This window comes from Homo sapiens, chromosome 3 (assembly GCF_000001405.40).
Source record: "Homo sapiens chromosome 3, GRCh38.p14 Primary Assembly".
Lineage (NCBI taxonomy): Eukaryota > Metazoa > Chordata > Mammalia > Primates > Hominidae > Homo > Homo sapiens.
In genome coordinates, this window is record NC_000003.12 from 129,070,493 (window position 1) to 129,084,743 (window position 14,251).

Below are 14,251 nucleotides of genomic sequence, written 5' to 3' on the forward strand. Positions count from 1 at the left end.
CAGAAAGCCAATAAGACAACAAGTATCGCCTGGGAAGAAGGCTTTAATTGTGTGCTGTAGTCAGAGATGGGAGATCAGTCTCAAATCCATCTCCCTGACGGACTAAAACTAGGGGTAATATAACAGAGAAGAAACGTAACCATGTGTGGGAAAACAGGAATTAGGGAGGTCAACAGGAAGCAGGTGGTCAGTTAGGCACTCATGATGGGTGAGAGGTCTAGCCTCTCATTGTGCAGATGATGTGGTGAGTTTCAACTCCTTGACACTATCTGGGAGGCCTGATAGTTGCTTTCCTAAGAGAGGAACTCAAATAAGACAAATGTAACTTTCTCAAGTTTTAAGACTGGGAGGATCAATTTCTATGTTTATTCAAAGAAACCATGAACATCAGTTCTGTGGGGCAGTTGGGCCGGCTTCAGAGCTACCTCTTGGTGTGGGCAGTGAACACCCTTCTCACCTCACCTTCCTCCTCTCCATTTTACAGATGGGGAAACTGAGGCACAGAAAGGTAAATAGCAGAGGTGAGATTTGGAGCCAAGCAGTCTGGCCCCGATGCCACTCTTGTAAGTCCTCTTCTCATGGTTGCTCACAGGCACTCAACTTAGGAACTGCTGGTCAACCCAAAAAAATCTGTATTAAGCATGGAAACAAAATTCACAGAAAGGATGCCTGATGGCCGCGTGGCGTTCTCAGATGAATACAGCTGCTTTGAGGCCAAGTGCTCTGCCTCTGCCCCCTACCTTCCTCCTTATTCACCCACCTGGGGTCTTTGATTCTTAAACTTTAGGGATTCTTGGAAACAAGCTAGGATGACAAATAGGCTATGGATTTGACCTTCTTAGTGATTAAGACACCACCGCGTGGCGCCCGCTGGAGTGGACCAGAATGTGTCCTCCACCAGACACGGCTTCTCAAAAGCTATAGGCGCAGCGATTCTGGGCGCTCTGCCTGTGAGTTAGCCCTGCTCAACAAGGAGCAGTAAAAACCAAGCAAACAAACGGGAGGCAGCAGCTGGTGGGGGTTTATTTTTTGACAATACCCTCACCCCCCAACACAGACACTGACCTTTGGGAAGGGATCTTGGGGCAGACCCCTGCTGGCCTACTGCCCCTCGTCTGGGGTCTCAGGCAGGTGCAGGCTGAGCAGACTTGGGCTCTAGAAACCAACCTTTCTGGAATTTTACGCTAGACCAGGGGTGTCCAATCTTTTAGCTTCCCTGCGCCACATTGGAAGAAGAATTGTCTTGGGCCACACATAAAATACACCAACACTAATTAGTAGGGGATTTTGAAAATGTTACTTAATATTAGATCGATGCACAAAAATCTATTGCATTTTTAGACAATTAGAAATTATAATTTTAGCTGGGTGTGGTGGCTCATGCCTGTAATCCCACCACTTTGGGGAGCCAAAGAGGGAGGATCGCTTGAGCCCTGGAGTTTAAGGCCAGCCTGGGCAACATAGCAAGACCCCATCTCTACAAAAAATAAAAATAAGAAAATTAGCTGGGTATGGTGGCACACACTTGTAGTGCCAGTTACTTGAGAAGCTGAGATGGAAGGATCACTTGAGCCCAAAAGGTGGAGGCTGCAGTGAGCTATGATCACAGCACTGCACTCCAGCCTGAGTGATAGAATGATTGTCTCTAAAAAAGAAAAAAAGAAAGAAAGAAATTGTAATTTAAAAATAGGATACAATAAAAGGCAGGTATACAATTGACTTTCAAGTTGGAAAAAATAAAATTTAATTTATATCTCACACCATAAACAGAAAAAAAAAATACACTAGCACTAATGATGGCTGATGAGCTAAAAAAAAATTGCAAAAATCCTCATAATGTTTTAAGAACGTTTACAAATTTGTGTTGGGCAGCATTCAAAGCCATCCTGGGGCACATGTTGGACAAGCTTGCCCTAGACCGAAGGAAAAGAGAAGACCGATACAACGGTGGCAAAATAGAAAATCCCTGTGGATTTCCCATGTTATAATAACAGGGAAGGAAAATGATCATAAAATGTATGTATTTATTTATTTTTATTTTTTTTTTTTGAGTCGGAGTCTCGCTCTGTCGCTCAGGCTGGAGTGCAGTGGTTTGATCTCGGCTCACTGCAAGCTCCGCCTCCTGGGTTCACGCCATTCTTCTGCCTCAGCCTCCCGAGTAGCTGGGATTATAGGCATGTGCCACAACGCCCGTCTAATTTTTTGTATATTTAGTAGAGACGCGGTTTCACCATGTTAGCCAGGATGGTCTCGATCTCCTGACCTCGTGATCCACCTGCCTCGGCCTCCCAAAGTGCTGGGATTACAGGCGTGAGCCACCGCGCCCAACCTACAAAATGTATTTAGTTAAAATCTCCTGTCGTCTCCTAGGCAGGGGGCAAAGCCCTGCTTTCTTTCCTGGAGTCCCATGGACACTGGGTCAGCACTGCCTGGACCCCTACCCAGCTGTGCAGGTGCTGTTTTACCCCTGCAAGGCTCTCGGTCAGGACCGAGCCTCCTCCTTCAGCTCTTGCCCAACTTCGTTGCACCAAGACAGAAGTTTATGAGCATGCCCAGAAGAGGAACCAATATGGCCTGGGGGCCCTAGAGTGGTCACATTCCAAGACAGAAAGTGGGTGGTGGCCACCAAGGCTGGAGGAGAGGGCACACGGGGAGTTTGGTGGGGACAGAGTTTCAGTTTGGGAAGACGGAAGCATTCTGAGATGGATGGTGTTCATGGTGGCACAGCAGTGTGAATGTGCTTAAGGTCCCTGCACTCTCCACTTTACGGATTTTATGGATGCTTAAAATTAGGAAAATTAGGAGTCTTTTGTAGTTTAAAAGTGTGATGATTGGCTTTTCTTGCTCTTGTGTGAGTGAGGTGTGCTTCTCTCAAAATACTATGTTCTCTCATAAATACTATGCCATGTATGGTTTGTTTTGGGGGTTTATTCTTGAGACAGGGTTTCGCTTTGCCGCCCAGGCCGATCTTGGCTCACTGCAGCCTCTGCGTCCTGGGTTCAAGCGATTCTTCTGCCCCCTGAGTAGCTGGGATTACAGGCATGCGCCACCTTGCCCAGCTAATTTTTGGATTTTTTTAGTAGAGATGGGGTTTTGCCATATTGACGAGGCTGGTCTTGAACTCCTGACCTCAAGTGATCCACCCGCCTTTGTCTCCCAAAGTGCTGGGATTACAGGCTTGAGCCACCATGCCCAGCCCATGCCATGTATGTTTTACCACAATACATAGTAATAATTTTGTTTTAAGTAATACAGCAATCTCTGTAAGCTCCTTTAGCCAAAGACAGTCACTATTAACACACAGTTAGTCTAAGCATCCCAGCTTTTCTCTTTTCTACCTCTGGAAAAGATACATTCCTAGAAAGTAAACACACCAGCGTGAAGTCACGGAGGGAACAATGGGGCTCGCCATTGCGGTATTTCCTTCTGGTGTCCTTCTCCGAACAGTTGTATATAGTTGAGATCATAACCACACAAATTATCTAGCCCAACTTTTTCCCTTCTTTAAAAAATGGAAATAGCTTTATTGATTTTCCTGGCTATATATAACTAATTCATGATCATAACCAAAAATTTTTCTCTAAAACTGCAAAAAAATTAGGAGCCTTTTGTAGTTTATAAGTGTGATGATTGGCTTTTCTCATTCTTGTGTGAGTGAGAACTTCTTTTCTCAAACCTTGTTATGATGTCAGCACATTACCTACCAGACATGAAAAATAATAATAAAAGGCCTAGGCCATGCGCGGTGGCTCACTCATGTAATCCCAACACTTTGGGAGGCTGAGACAGGCAGATCACGAGGTCAGGAGATCGAGACCATCCTGGCTAACATGGTGAAACCCTGTCTCTACTAAAAATAAACAAAATTAGCCTGGCGTGGTGGCGGGCGCCTGTAGTCCTAGCTACTCGGGAGGCTGAGGCAGGAGAATGGCGTGAACCCGGGAGGCGGAGTTTGCAGTGAGCCGAGGTGGCGCCACTGCACTCCAGCCTGGGTGACAGAGAGAGACTCCGTCTCAAAAAAAAAAAAAAAAAAAATAATAATAATAATAAAAGGCCTGAAATTGAAATCCAGCCCCCTCCAGAGACAGATTTCTTCCTAACTTTGACTGAATATCCTTCCAGGCTTTCTCCCCAAAATGTGTGTGTATATATACATATGTGGGTGGGTACGTGTGTATATACACACCCATATATTTAAATATATATTTACGATTATTTTATTTATGAGAGTAATTGAGAACATATTTTCATGGTTCATCTGTTTCTACTTAGTCAATTTTTTTTTTTGAGACTGAGTCTCACTCTGTCTCCCAGGCTGAGAGGCAGTGGTGCGATCTCAGCTCACTGCAACCTCGACCTTCTGGGCTCAAGCTAACCTCCCATCTCAGCCTCCCTGAGAAGCTGGGACTACAGGAGCACGCTACCATACCTGGCTAATATATTTTTGTAGAGACAGGATTTTGCCATGTTGGCCAGGCTGGTCTCGGACTCCTGAGCTCAAGTGATCCACCCACCTTGGCTTCCCAAAGTGCTGTGATTACAAGCGTGAGCCACCATGCCTGGCCTACTTAGTCATTTTTAATTTTATTGTATTCATTCATTTTATTTTTATTAATTCATCTTTTATTGAGGAACATTTAAGTTTGGGTGTGAAATTGCAATGATAAACAGCTATTCAGCTTATTTCACTTACTGGCATTTTCCAATCAATAGTAGAATTCCAATCACTACTTCAATCAAATCCTTCATGAAGATCATTTCTATGTCACTCCTTTTCTGGGATATCTAGGTTGTTTCCAAGTCCCCCCTGCCCCCACAAATGGCATTATGTCTTAGTTTGTTTGTGTCTCTATAAAGGAATACCTGAGACTGGGTAATTTATAAAGAAAAGAGGTTTATTTGGCTCACAGTTCTGCAGGCTGTTCAGGAAGCCTGGCGCCAGCATCTGCTCCTAGTGAGACCTCAGGGAAGCTTTCACTCATGTTGGAGGTGAAGGGGAGCTGGTGGGTCACACGGTGAGAGAGGGAGCAGGAAAGAGGGGAGGGAGTTGCCAGGCAGCTCTTTTTGAAAATCAGGTCTCTTGGGAACTAACATAGTGAGCATTCACTCATTATCTCATTAGTGTGAGGACTGCACCAAGCCATGAGGGGTGCGCTCCCATGACCCACCTTCCACCAGGCCTCACCTTCAACATTGGGGATCACATTTTAACATGAGATTTGGAGGGGTCAAATAGCAAACCAGGCCAGGTGCAGTGGCTCACGCCTGTAATCCCAACACTTTGGGAGGCCGAGGTGGGCGGATCACCTGAGGTCAGAAGTTTGAGACCAGCCTAGCCTGGCCAACATGGTGAAACTCTCTATCTCTCCTAAAAATACAAAAATTAGCCAGGCATGGTGGTGGGCACCTGTAATCCCAGCTACTTGGGAGGTTGAGGCAGGAGAATCGCTTGAACTTGGGAGGCAGAGGTTGCAGTGAGCTAAGATCACACCATTCATTGCACTCCAGCCTGGATGACAAGACTGAAATTCCGTCAGAAAAAAAAAAAAAAGGAAACCATAGCACATTGTATTTGAATTCTTTGTACATAAAAATTTTTCCACATCTAGATGTGTTTTCTTGGGACAGAATCCCCAAAGTTGATTTGGGAAAAAGTAAAGTTTGGCCAAGTGCAGTGGCTCACACCTGTAATCCCAACACTTTGGGATGCCAAGGTGGGTGGATTGCTTGAGGCCAGGAGTTGGAAACCAGCCCGGCCAACATGGCATAACCCTGTCTCTACTAAAAATACAAAAACCAGCTGGGCGTGGTGGCACACACCTGAAATCCCAGCTACTCGAGAGGCTGAGGCACGAGGCGGAGGGAGGTTGCAGTGAATCAAGATTGCACCATTGCACTCCAGCCTGAATGACAGAGTGAGACCCTGTCTCAAAATAAATAAATAAATAAATAAATAAAATAAAGTAAGTTCATTTGGAGAGTCAAAGTTCAGATGCATTTTCTTTGTTTTTTGTTTGTTTGTTTTTCTGAGACAGAGTTTTGCTCTGTTGCCCAGGCTGGAGTGCAGTGGAGCAATCTCAGTTCACTGCAACCTCTGCCTCCCAAGTTCAAGCGATTCTCTTGCCTCAGCCTCCTCAGTAGCTGGGACTACAGGTATGCGCCACCACACCCAGCTAATTTTTGTATTTTTGGTAGAGATGGGGTTTCACCATGTTGGCCACGCTGGTCTCGAACTCCTGGGCTCAAGTGATCCACCCATGTTTGCCTCCCAAGGTGCTGGGATTACAGGCATGACCCAACATGCTCGGCCCCAGATGCATTTTCTTTTCTTTTTTTTTTTGAGATGGAGTCTTGCTCTGTTGCCCACGCTGAAGTGCAGTGAGTGATCTCAGCTCATTGCAACTTCCGCCTCCCGGGTTCAAGTGATTCTCCTGCCTCAGCCTCCCGAGTAGCTGGGATTACAGGCACTTGCCACCATGCCCGACTGATTTTTGTACTTTTGGTAGAGACAGGGTTTCACCAGGTTGGCCAGGCTGGTCTCGAACTCCTGACGTCGGGTGATCCACCTGCTTTGGTCTCCCAAAGTGCTGGATTACAGGTGTGAGCCACCTCACCTGGCCCCCAGATGCATTTTCAATAGCAAGAATTTTCCCTCTTCCTTCTCATTCCTCTCCCCACCCCACTTAAAATAAAGTTGGCCCTAAAGTGCTGGATGAAGAAAGGAAAAAAGTCAGCAGGGCAGAAATCATCATTACAAATACTCTGGAGTGCAAAGAATTGACCCTGTGTCTGAATGTCCCCTGGAAAATAAACATTGGCATCCGTGTATTAGTCAGCGTTCTCCAGAGAAATGACCAATAGGAAGCGTGTACAGAGAGAGTTGAAGGAATTCGTTCACATGATGATGAAGGTTGGCAAGTCGAAAACCTGCGTGCTGGACCAGCAGTCTGGAGAGCCAGGGACACAGAATCACAGGTCAAGTCCAAAGGCTGTTGCTGCAGATCCCCTCTTGCTCAGGGGAGGTCAGTCTTTTTGTTCTTTTCAGGCCTTCAACTGACTGGATGAGGCCCACCCGATTACAGAGGGCAATCTGCTTTTCTCAAAGTCCACTGTTGAAATGCTAATCTCATCCAAAACACCCTCACAGAAACACCCAGAATAATATTTGACCACATATCTCAATACTAGGGCCCAGCAAAGTTGGCACACAAAATAACCATCACAGTCTGTAATGTTTGTTTGCTTAATCATATACTTGGCATGGCCGGGTGCAGTGGCTCTCTCATGTAATCCCAGCTCTTTGGGAGGCTTGAGGGTCAGGAGTTCGAGACCAGCCTGGCCAAGAGGGTGAAACTCCATCTCTACTAAAAATACAAAAATTAGCTTGGTGTGGTGGTGCACGCCTGTGGTCCCAGCTACTTGGGAGGCTGAGACAGGAGAATCGTTTGAACCCAGGAGGCAGAGCTTGCTGTGAGCTGAGATCGCGCCACTGCACTCCAGCCTTGGTGAAAGAGCAAGACTTTGTCTAAAAAAAAAAAAAAAAAACATCATATACTTGGCAGTACTAATTACAGTGGAAACACCTCTTTGGTTTCCTTTTTTTTTTTTTTTTTTGAGACAAGTTCCTACTCTGTTGCCCAGGCTGGAGTGCAGTGCCACAATCATGGCTCACTGCAGCCTCTACCTCTCCTACTCAAGCAATCCTCCCACCTCAGCCTCCCGAGTAGCTGGAACCAGAGGCACGTGCCACCATGCCCAGCTAATTTTTTTTTTTTTTGGTAGAGATGGGATCTCACAGTGTTGCCCTGACTGGTCTTGAACTCCTGGGCTCAAGCAACCCTCCTTCCTCAGCCTCCCCAAGTGCTGGGATTACAGGCATGAGCCACCGCACTCAGCCATATATATAATTTCTAATCTTCAGAAAACCCTGCAAGATAGGAAGAATTATCCTCAATTTTTCAAATGAGAAAACTTATGGTCAGAGGAAGAAAGGCTCCAAAGGCAACACAGCTGCATTTGAGGGAGATGGAACTGAAAGGCATCTTTAGTTAACCCAAAGCACCAGGCCTTTTCCAGCCACCCCTTCAAGCTGGGCAGGGATCACTCAATGTGGCAAGGATTGCTTGCTTGGCCTCTGAATTGTACTCCCCTTCTTCCACAGGAATGGAATTTTAGCCAGGCACAGGGCCGTGCAGAATAGAGACATTTCCCAGATGCCCTCAGTGAGCTGCGCCCACGTGACCAAGTCCTAGCCAAGGCGATGCAGGCAGGTGCTTCGGGCCATGCCCTTAAGGAAAGGGGTGACTGGTCCTCCCTTTCCCCTTCCCGTGGGGTGGGAAGCAAAGACTGGAGCCAGGCAGCACCTCAGGGCGTCAGTGCAACCGCACAGATATCCTATCCTATTCTGTTTTTGTTCAGACTTTTATAGGGATATAGATAGAATTTTATGCTGCTATTTGGGGTCTTTGTATCCCTGCTAATTAGAAAACAACTTTGAGGCCTAGTGCAGTGACTCATGCCTGTAATCCCAGCACTTTGAGAGGCCAAGGCCGGTGGATCACTTGAGGTCAGGAGTTCAAGACCAGCCTGGGCAACAACACAAAACCTCATCTCTACAAAAAAATCCAAAAATTAGCTGGGCATGGTGGTGCACACTTGTAGTCCCACCTACTCAGGAGGCTGAGGCAGGAGAATCGCTTGAACCCGGGAGGCGAAGGTTGCTGAGAGCCAAGATTGCACCACTGCACTCCAGCCTGAGCAAGAGAGTGAGATCCTGTCTCAAAAAAAGAAAAGAAAAAGAAAAGAGAAGAGAAAAGAGAGAAGGGAAAGGAAGGGAGGGGAGGGCAGGGGAGGGGAGGGGACAGGAGGGGAGGGGATGGGAGGCAACTTTGAGGCTTTCTGTTTACAAAGATTCCATAATAAAAAGGGAAGGCAGGCTCTGCGGTTCACCCAGCCTGCTGGGTTTGTACCTACCTGTCAGTCAATACAACCAAGGCCAGAGCCTGGAATACACTCTTCACCTGATGTCCTCCACTTCGGAAAAGCTCCATGGACTCCCATCATAACCTGAAGAATCATTCCTTCCATTGAGTTTAGAAAGTTGAATTGGCCAGGTGCGGTGGCTCATGCCTGTAATCCCAGCACTTTGGGAGGCTGAGGCGGGAGGATCTCTTGAGGCCAGGAGTTTGAGAGCGGCCTGGGTGACACAGTGAGACTCCATCTCTAAAAGAAGTTTTTTAAATTTGGTTTGTTAAAAAACAATGATAGCAAAATATTGTTGAGAACAGAAAGAAGGTTTGAATAAACAAAAAATGTACCCATTCATGATAGCAAGATTCAAGTCTCCCAGATGAACTCTAAATTCAGTTCATCCTATGAATATCTTGGCAAATTTCTTTCTGAGGAACTTAACAAAGGAAGAGATGAGGCTGACACCACCTGAAAGGCCTCATGAGCGATTTCAGCAGAAGGCTGGGTATAGCCAGAAGAGCATCTTCCAGAGTGTAAAAATCAAGGATTAAAATATAGAGACAAATCTCTAAATTTAACATTTTATGTGGGAAGCGATTTGGGTCTTACACACAGACCAAGTAAGTGGTCTTCAATATGTCTGAAGAACAAAGAGGAGGTTGGAGGTGTTATAAAAAGGAGAAATGGTACATACTGTTTTTCAGAAAGTTCATTGGCACCAGTAAAATCTGGGGACGCTGGCCAGCTCTGACTGGTGAGTGACAGCCAGTGAAACTCATCTTAGAGTTGCAACGGGTGGTATCAGTACCTATCAGATAAGACTGGCTTTGGCTGAGTGTGGTGGCTCACGCCTGTAATCCCAGCACTTTGGGAGGCCAAGGCGGATGGATCACCTGAGGTCAGGAGTTCAAGACCAGCCTGACTAACATGGTGAAACCCCATCTCTACTAAATACAAAAAATTAGGCGGGCGTGGTGGCTCATGCCTGTAATCTCCCAGCTACTTAGGTGGCTGAGGCAGGAGAATTGCTTGAACCCAGGAGACGGAGGTTGCAGTGAGCTGAGGTCGCGCCGTTGCGCTCCAGCCTGGGCAACAAGAGCAAAAACTCCATCTCAAAAAAACAAAACAAAACAAAAAACTGGTTTCAGGTTGGAGCAGACAGCCTCAGCAGCCAGGCTGCAGAGAATGACATTCCTGGAGCTGTGTTATGTGCCACCCTCCTGCCCCCCACCTCTGGACTCTGTTTTATTTGGGTGTGACAAGAGTGACCCAATTCATATGGTCAACTGTCACAAGAGACAACCATCACAGACAACTTGTGCTGTGGGGACGCCTCTGGAGCCTGCCCCAGGCTTCCAGCTACACTTGGCATATTGACCACATGGGGGAGAGGGGGTCTCCTCTCCCTACCCACACCCCACCAGAATTCCTTGGCAGTTATTTTTATTTTTTAAATTTAATTCAATTTAATTTCTATTTATTTATTTATTTATTTTTGAGACACAGTCTCATTCTGTCACCCAGGCTAGAGTGCAGTGGCACGATCTGGGCTCACTGCAACCTCTGATTCCCAGGTTCAAGCGATTCTCCTGCCTTAGTCCCCCGAGTAGCTAGGATTACAGCTGTGCACCACCATGCCTGGCTAATTTCTGTATTTCTAGTAGAGTCAGGGTTTCACCGTGTTGGCCAGGCTGGTCTCGAACTCCTGACTTCAGGTGACCTGCCCACCTTGGCCTTCCAAAGTGCTGGGATTACAGGCATGAGCCATCGCATCTGGCCTATTTTTAAAAAGGGATAAATCCACAAGGACAAAGGGAATGAGGGGAGGTGACTGTGGGGAAGAGAGGCCAACATGCTTCTGTGGAGCGGAGAGTGGATGGAGGCAGTGGCCACTTCCACAGATCACAGTGTGGCTGGCAGGGGGAAACCTGAGGAGAAGCAGCCACTGTGCCCCCAGGATCCCCAGGGGTCAGCACTCAGATGCTGCGGATCGCCACAGATCACGAGAGAGGCCTGAAAATCAGGGCTTGCCTGGAAGTCTAGCTCCCAGCATTTGTAACCCTCAGGCCCCTCCCTGATTTCTGCATCTAGGGACCACCGCTTCACCCCGTCCAAATGGAAATTTGAGGGGCAGGGGTTCATTTTTTAAGAAATTGAAAAGAGAACCCCAGCCTTGGGAAAGCAGGCAGAGTGGAGGGCAAAAATTTGGTACAGGGCCAAAAATAGACGGGAACGTCCACAGTTCCTGCCGCAGGACCCTGGCTTCCTTCCTGACTGGCTACCCGGCGCACGCAATGGGGTTTCTCCCATCCCCACCACCCCCAGGAAGGAGATTAGAAGATCCTGTGCTAGAGAAATGGAAATGCTTCAGGGAAAAGATCTCTTCTCTCTGGCTACAGACATTAGGGGACCCCTCCCCAGTGGAAGAGCAGCTGGGCCCAAAATCACCCAACAGGGAGAAGTCCACCCATTGATAAGCCCTATCTGGGCACTCAGGCTTCCAGGAATCCCCAGACCTGAGGAACAGCCCTCACATGGAAGACAATGTTTAAAACAACAGGAGAAAGGAACGCCAGGCAAAGAACAGGAGAGAACTTAGAAGTTTGTTTTAAGAACAACACAACCCTCAAGGGCTCCTTGGAGTAATGACTGACTCCAGGTCTGCAGCGGAGAATGTATGACATGTGCCAGGAAGCAGAGGGGTGTGCGGGACTCGAGGGTCTCATCCAGGGACTCGGTGCCATCTGGAAAGGACTCAGCGGCCAGAGTCCAGCGGGCTCACTGGCATCACACAGGTAACAGCTTCAGTGGACATGTAGAAAGCCACGATGACCCACACCCCGCCCAGGAAGGAGGAAGGTGGGAGGAGGAGAAGAAAAGAGAGGAGGAAGAGGAAGAGGAGAGAAAGAAGAAAGGGAAGAAAGTTTCTGCCTGTTGGGGTTTAAATCCTCCTTACCTTAACCACATTAAGGGTCCTTTAACCACCTTAAGGGTCCCTTAACCGTCTCATATCCAGACTCTAGTTTTTTTTTTTTGTTTGTTTTTTGAAATGGAGTCTTACTCTGTTGCCCAGGCTGGAGTGCAGTGGCACGATTTAGGCTCACTGCAAAATCTGCCTCCTGGATTCAAGCAATTCTCCTGCCTCAGCCTCCCAAGTAGCGGGGATTATAGCCACCCGCCACCACACCAGCTAATTTTGTATTTTTAGTAGAGACGGGGTTTCACCATGTTGGTCAGACTGGTCTCGAACTCCTGACCTCAGGTGATCCACCTGCCTCGGCCTCCCAAAGTGCTGGGATTACAGGCATGAGCCACCACGCCAGGCCCAGACTCTAGTTTTTACATCAGTCATAACATTTCAAATTTCTATATTTTGGTGTTCTGAGTCGTTCAGTGAATACTGCATCATAAGCATTTTTAAATGTTATATTGTTTTCATGACTCTTTCAGAGTTTCTTTCAGAGCTAACATAATATATACTTCTTACAGAAAACTGTAAAGTTTAGACCAGGCCCAGTGGCTCATGGCTGGAACCCAGCACTGTGGGAGACTGAGGTGAAAGGATCACTCGAGCCCTGGAGTTCAAGACCAGCCTGGGCAACATAGCAAGACCCCATCTCTACAGAAAATATAAAAATTAGCCAGGTGTGGTGGCGCACACCTGTGGCCCCAGCTACTCGGGAGGCTGAGGTGGGAGGATGGCTTGATCCCGGGAGGCGGAGGTGGCAGTGAGCTGAGATGGTGCCACTGCACTCCAGTTTGGGTGACAGAGCTAGACCCTGTTTCAAAAAAAAAAAAATTTCCTTCAGGGAGATCCCTATAAGGGGTGTTATTTTCAGAAATGTTCATTTAGAATTATGTCCATGTTGTTGAATCTAATCCTGATTATGTGGTAGCTGTCGCTGCAGCCACCGTCTCACCCTCAAATACCCAATGTCCACTCTCAGGATTTCCAGGGTTAAGGCCCAGTCCCTGGAGCCCAGATGCACAGGGTTCTAATCTTACCTCTGCCACTGACTAGATGTGCAATTTGAGGCAAAGCACCTAAACTGTCTTATGAATTCTTGTACAATGCTGAGAACAATACAAGTTTACAGAAACCTCGCAATAAATACCAGCCCCCATCACCTTGGGTGGCTGTAGCCGCCGATCTGATAGAAGTTTGAAGATTCTAGACGTGGAAATTGAGCAGCCTTCAGCCGTACATCTACTCACACCTGACAATGCACCATATTTGGCATCTATATGTGAATTTATGTCTTTTCTGCCCAGAGAGTCTACAGCGTCAAGTTGGTCAAGGATCAAGAAGAGATCAAGGACCATATTAGGCCTTAGACAAGGTAACATGAAGAAAATCAACAACAACAACAAAAACATGATTAGGGATGACAAGCTTGCATGTTTCCAGGCAGAGTAGCGCTTCGATGATGAAAGTGCCCTGGGGAGAGTGTCTGGGTGTCAGGGTGATGCAGGGGTCCTGCTGACTCCATTCATGGCTGACTCCATTCATGGCGCTGTCTCTGGCTATGGGATGGAGTCTGAGCCTTGCTGAGGAGCAAGCCATGAGCCTTTTTTTTTTTTTTGAGACGGAGTCTCGCTCTGTCACCAAGGCTAAAGTGCAGTGGTACGATCTCGGCTCACTGCAAGCTCCGTCCCCCGGATTTATGCCATTCTCTTGCCTCAGCCTCCCAAGTAGCTGGGACTACAGGTGCCCGTCACCAGGCCTGGCTAATTTTTTTGTATTTTTTTTTTTAGTAGAGACGGGGTTTCACCATGTTAGCCAGGATGGTCTCGATCTCCTGACCTCGTGATCTGCCCGCCTCAGCCTTCCAAAGTGCTGGGATTACAGGCGTGAGCCACTGCGCCCAGCCGCTGTGAGCCCGTTGACCTTGAAGTCTGCAGATGAAGTTGGCACTTGTAGAAAGGAAGGAAAAGACACTTGACCAAGACATAAATGGATAACATCCTTCAGGCCAATGGAAGAAACCAAAAATTCTAGGATGTCAGGGCCTGACCCTGGGCCATGCTTGTGCAGTGAGCAGGCTGTGTTGACCAGAGTTCCTCGGTCATGTGCACACAATGAGGATCCCCCTGGGGATCTTCTTAAAATTCAGATTCTGACTCAGGAGGTCTGGGGTAGAGGCTGAGGTTCTGCATTTTTGTATAGGCTCCTAGGTGATACCCACGCTGCTGGCCCACGGACCACAAGTGGAGCAAGGCAGGAGCAGACAGGCCCTACTCACCCGGCTCCAGGGAGCTCCCTCGGGGCCACCTGGCCACA

The 14,251-nt window shown here is 47.5% G+C and overlaps 1 non-coding gene across 1 annotated transcript; it reads left to right on the forward strand.

The window, feature by feature from the left end:
• Positions 1-3,602: 3,602 nt before the first annotated feature.
• LOC124906368 (small nucleolar RNA U13) lies at positions 3,603-3,710 on the forward strand. The gene has a single exon (XR_007096335.1). It is a non-coding gene; the product is annotated as a small nucleolar RNA U13 (small nucleolar RNA).
• The last annotated feature ends 10,541 nt before the right edge of the window (positions 3,711-14,251 follow it).